General features: G+C 45.0%; 1 annotated feature.

Annotated features, from left to right (window-relative positions):
• Positions 639–1,139: an enhancer, noted in NCBI's record as "H3K4me1 hESC enhancer chr7:129201761-129202261 (GRCh37/hg19 assembly coordinates)". NCBI's record gives its function as "activates a minimal SCP1, AML or CMV promoter by ChIP-STARR-seq in primed H9 embryonic stem cells {active_cell/tissue: H9 hESC(primed)}" and the evidence as "EXISTENCE:reporter gene assay evidence [ECO:0000049][PMID:30033119]".

Genomic DNA, 5,973 nt, shown 5'->3' on the forward strand with positions numbered 1-5,973 from the left:
ATCCATTTACTCAGCTTTACTTCTCTTCACAGATGTCACACACACACACACACACACATCCTGACATTATATTATATACTTATTGACTTGAATATCAATTATATATTTATTGAGGGCAGGGACTTTGTTTACTGTTAGGTCTCCCAGGGCCTGGGAACCTGCCTGGTGCATAGGCGGCTGTAGGTAAACCTTTTAGAGTAAAGGAATGCTAAGGCTGTCGACTTACTGTGCTTTAATTTCATTGTTTGTACAATTTCCTACCCTCCCTCTCCCCACAGTTAATATTTATCTTGGTTTTTCACTTACTTTGCTTTGTATGCAGCACATCCTCCAACAGCCCTTCAATCCAAGTTGTTCATACAAACGAATCAGATAATCTGCTGTGTTTAAATTCCCCTCTGCATTCAAAAGCAATGCAGGAATCGGATAAATTGAGATAAAATATCCACATTGTTAGATAAAGGGGCATGGAGGACAGAACTTAGTTGGTAGCCAAGCATCTTTGACCACGGCCCACTCCTTGCGTTAGACCTCCTCTTGGAATTGCGGGCGGCCCCTCCAAAGAGGCGGAGCGTGCTCTGGGATCCGACCACAGGCAGGCAAGGCTGTGTTGTGCAGAAAACAAGCCTCTCCAGAGGGAAGAGAGGCACCTCACATGCTGAGGCCTTTCCCAGCATCACCAATCAATACTCACCATCTTCCCTGGGGAAGAGGGAGGGAGTGGGCAAGTGGGCTGAGAGAAAGGTCACAGTTACTCTTTCCAACACTTTTGGAAGGATGGAAGTTGCTATTAATAGCCCAGAGAAGAGAAAGGGAAGAGACAGAGGATCTTCCTCCTCCTCCTCTATTAGTTCCTTTTTTTTTTTTTTTGGTTGAGACAGAGTCTTCCTCTGTCACCCAGGCTGGAGTGCAATGGTGCAATCTTGGCTCACTGCAACCACCCCATCCCAGGTTCAAGCGATTCTCGTGCCTCAGCCTCCCACGTAGCTGGGATTATAGGTGCCTGCCACCATGCCAGGCTAATTTTTGTATTTTTAGTAGAGATGAGGTTTCGCCATGTTGGCTAGGCTGGTCTTGAACTCCTGGTCTCAAGCAATCTGCCCACCTTGGCCTCCCAAAAGTACTGGGATTACAGGCATGAGCCACTGCACCCAGCCCTCTATTAGTTCCTTTTTATTCCCTCTGGTATTCACCTCCTGGAGCTCTGTCTACCTGTACCAGCCTGCAAGGGTACTCTCTAGCCCTATTATCCTGGGATTTTCCCTCATTGTCACCTTGTGAATTTCCTCACCTCCCTCCTGTGCTGCATCCCCTGTTCCCTACGTTGCATTTTAGTGGAGCACAGCCTGCAGTGGCTTACACACACACACACACACACACACACACACACACACACACAAAAGGGTGCACAGCACCAAAGTTCCCAATGCCTGGCAGACTGGAAATATCTTCATCCACCCTCATAATGATTAATAGTTTGGCTGGGTATATAGTCTGTGTCGGAAGTTATCTTTTCTCATAATTTTGAAGGCTTTGCTCCACTGTGTTTTGCTTTCATTACTGCTGTTAGAAGTTTGATGTCATTCTAGTTTCTTGATCTTTTAATGTGATAGGCTTTTTCTCTGTGAAAAATTTTAGGAGCTGCACTAGTTTCTGTTGCTGTTGTAATAGATTACCAAGAATGTAGCAACTTAAAACAACACAAACATTTTTTTTGGAGACAGAGTTTCGCTCTTGTCACCTAGGCTGGAGTGCAGTGGCATGATCTCTGCTCACTGCAACCTCCACCTCCCAGGTTCAAGCAATTCTCCTGCCTCAGCCTCCCGAGTAGCTGGGACTACAGGTGCCTGCCACCACGCCCGGCTAATTTTTTACAGTTTTAGTATAGACGGAGTTTCACCATGTTAGCCTGGATGGTCTCGATCTCCTGACCTCGTGATCCACCCACCTCAGCCTCCCAAAGTGCTGGGATTACAGGCGTGAGCCACCACACCCGGACTTAATTTTTGTATTTTTAGTGGAGATGGGGCTTCATCATGTTGGCTAGGCTGGTCTTAAATCCCTGACCTCAGGCAATCCGCCCTCCTCGGCCTCCCAAAGTGCTGGGATTACAGGTGTAAGCCACCATGCCGGCCAAACTTACTATTTTATAGTAGATCAGAAGTCCAACACGGATCTCACTGGGCCATCTAAGTGTTGGCTGGATGTATTCCTTCCAGAGGCTCTAGGAGAGAATCTATCTTCTTGCCTTTTCAGCTTCTAGAAGCTGCCCACTTTACTTGGCTCATGGTCCCTTCCTTCATCTCAGAGCCAGCAGTCTTGGGCCAAGTCCTTCGCAGGCTGCCATTCATCCAGTTCTACCTTTTGTGCCTCCCTCTTGAACTTTTAAGGACTCTTGTGGTTACACTGGACCCATCCAGATAATCCAGGATAGTCTCCCTGTGTTAAAATCGGATGATTAGCAAGCTCAATTCCCCCTTGCCATAACCTAACAAATTCACAGGGTTCTGGGTATTAGAACATAGACATCCTGGGGCAAGGGGCAGTTATCCTGCCTACCACAGGATCTTTGTTTATTTCCAGTGTTCTAAAATTTCAGGAAAATATGCCTTGATGATCGGTGTTTTTTTTTCTTTTTCATTTGTTCACTGTGCTAATTGGTGAGCCTTTCATTCTAGAAACTCATGTTCTTCAGTCCTGGAGGTTTTCTTGCATTTCTTCATTGAAAGCTTCTTCTATTTTCTTTTTTGCTTCCCTACCCTGCCCCCAGAACTCTTATTAGCCAGAAACTACACCTCCTGGTCTGTGTCACTGATTTTGTTATTTGATTCCATACCACCTATTTTCTTTATTTTTTTATTCTACCTTTAATAGAAGAGTTCCACAATTTTATCTTCTATTGAATTTAAAACTTTTGTTATGAACATTTTATTTCCAAAAGCTCTTTCTAAAATAAATAAGCTGGGCACAGGGATGCTTGCCTGTAGTCCTAGCTACTTGGGAAGCTGAAGCAGGAGGATCCCTTAAGCCCAGGAGTTCGAGTCCAGCCTGGGCAACAGAGTGAGACTCCTGTCTCTAAAATAAATAAATCAATAGGCCAGGTGCAGTGGCTCACACCTGTAATCCTAGCACTTTGGGATGCCAAAGTGGGCAGATCACCTGATGTCAGGAGTTCAAGACCAGCCTGGCCAACATGGCAAAACCCCGTCTCTACTAAAAACACAAAAATTGGCTGGGCATCGGAGTGGTTGCCTGTAATCCCAGCTAGGGAGGCTGAGGCAGGAGAATTGCCTAAACCCAGGAGGCAAGGTTGCAGTGAGCTGAGACTGCATCACTGCACTCCACCCTGGGCGACAACGGCAAAACTCCATCTCAAAAAAAAAATTATTTTTATTAAAGACAAGGTTTCACTCTTTTGCCTAGGCTGGTCTCCAACTCCCAACTTCGAGCAATCCTCCCACCTCAGCCTCCCAAAGTGCTGGGATGACAGGCATGAGCCATCACACCTACCCCTTCTTCTCCTCCTTTCTATTTTTACTGTTACTGCCTTAGGTTAGGTTGTCATCCCTCTGTCTTGGACAACTACAAGAATCTCTTAAATGGTTTCCCTGACTCCAATATCATTACCCTCCAATATCTATGCTGGCAACGGAACTGGTATTAAAGTGCAAAAAACCTGATTATTTTGTCTCCTCTTTAAATCCATCAAGAGCTCCTCTGTTGCTTTCAGATTAATTTCCAAAAGGTCTTTAGCATGTCAGTACAGACGGAGGAGAGAAGAGTTGAATTTGGAGGTTTTAGAACGTGGATGATGTCCAGGAGACAGCGTCCAGTTACATCTTAAGAAAACAGTACCCAACATGGCTTCCTTCAGCCACCCACTGATGTCTTTGCATTGCTCCATTTCATAGTCAACTTCTTAAGAAAGGTGCCTCTGCATCATTTCAGCTCTTGTTCATTTCTTAACTTGGGGTAATTTGGCTTCTGTCCCCAAAACACCAGAGAAACTACTCTTCTAAGATCACCACTGAATACTTCTCTTTCTTTCTTTTTTTTTTTTTTTTTTTTTTTTTTGAGACAGAGTCTTGCTCTGTCACCCAGGCTGGAGTGCAGTGGCGCAATCTCGGCTCACTGCAACCTCTGCCTCCTGGGTTCAAGCAATTCTCCTGCCTCATCCTCCCGAGCAGCTGGGACTACAGGTGCGCACCACCACATCCAGCTAATTTTTTGTATTTTTAGTAGAGATGGGGTTTCACCGTGTTAGCCAGGATGATCTTGATCCCCTGACCTTGTGATCCCCCTGCCTTGGCCTCCCAAAGTGCTGGGATTACAGGCGTGAGCCACCGCACCCGGCTGGATACTTTTCTTTACATTTTAAAATGTTTAATTTAGAAATAATTTCAGATTTACAAAAAAGTTGCAAATATACTAAAAAACAAAACCCAAACCCATATATACTTTACCCAGCTCCCCTAAAGTGCATGATATATAACCACGATACAATTAACAAAACCAGGAAATTAACGCTGATACCATTAACTAATCTGTACACCTTAATTTAAATTTTGTCAGTTGTTCCGCTGATGGGACAGATCCAATCCAGGATCACATATTGTGTTAGATTGTGTATTAGTTCATTCTCACGCTGCTAATAAAGACATCCCCGAGACTGGGTGCTTTATAAAGGAAAGAGGTTTCATTGACTCACAGTTCAGCATGGCTGGGGAGGCCTCAGAAAACTTATAGTCGGCCGAGAGCAGTGGCTCATGCCTGTAATCCCAGCACTTTGGGGGCTGAGGCAGGTAGATCACCTGAGGTCAGGAGTTCAAGACCAGCCTGGCCAGCATGGTGAAACCCCATCTCTACTAAAAATACAAAAATTATCTGGGTGTGGTGGCATGCGCCTGTAATCCCAGCTACTCGGGAGGCTGAGGCAAGAGAATAGCTTGAACCCAGGAGGCAAAGGTTGCAGTGAGCCAAGATCACCCCATAGCACTCCACCCTGGGCAGGGAAACCATTTAGGAGATTCTTGTAATTGTCCAAGACAGAGGGATGACAACCTAACCTAAGAGCAGAGGTTGCAGTGAGCCAAGATCACTCCACAGCACTCCAGCCTGGGCAACAGAGAGAGACTCAGTCTCAAAAAAAAAAAAAAGAAAAAAAAAGAAAAGAAAACTTACAGTTGTGGTGGAAGGGGAAGCAAATGCTTCCTTCTTCACAGGGCAGCAAGAAGGAGAAGAATGAGAACCGAGCAAAGGGGGAAGCCCCTTATAAAACCATCAGATCTTGTGAGAACTTACTATCATGAGAATAGCATGGGGAATCTGCCCCCATGATTCAATTACCTTCCATCCGTTCCCTCCCTCTCTCAACTACAATTCAAGATGAGATTTGGGTGGGGACACAGCCAAACCACATCAAATTATCATGTCACCTTAGTTTTTTTTTTTAATCTGAAATTGTTCCTCGGGCTTTCTTTCTGTTTGTTGTTTTTCTGATTTTAACACATTTGAAGGATACTGGCCAGTTCTATTGTTGAATGTCCCTTAATTTAGGTTTGCCTGAATTACTTGTGATTAAATTCATGTACTGTGGTAGGCAGGATAATGCCGGCACCCCCCCCCCCCCCCCACCATCCCCTACCACAGAGATGTTCACATTTGAATCTCTGAAATAAATTAGGTGAGCATGGTGGTGGGTGTTTGTAATCCCAGCTATTTGGGAGGTTGAGGCTGGAGAATCACTTGAACCTAGGAGGCAGAGGTTGCAGTGAGCTGAGATCATGCCATTGCACTCTAGCCTGGGCAGCAAGAGTGAAAGTCTGTCTCAAAAAAAAAAAAAGTCAGCTTATATATGGCAAGGGGGAATTAAGGTTGCAGAGGGAATTAAGGTAGAAGCTGGAATTAAGATTGCTAGTTGCTGGTATGGGTAGATTAATCCAGATTATCCTAGCAGGCCCAATACAATCACAA

This window comes from Homo sapiens, chromosome 7 (genome assembly GCF_000001405.40).
Source record: "Homo sapiens chromosome 7, GRCh38.p14 Primary Assembly".
In the NCBI taxonomy this organism is placed as follows: domain Eukaryota; kingdom Metazoa; phylum Chordata; class Mammalia; order Primates; family Hominidae; genus Homo; species Homo sapiens.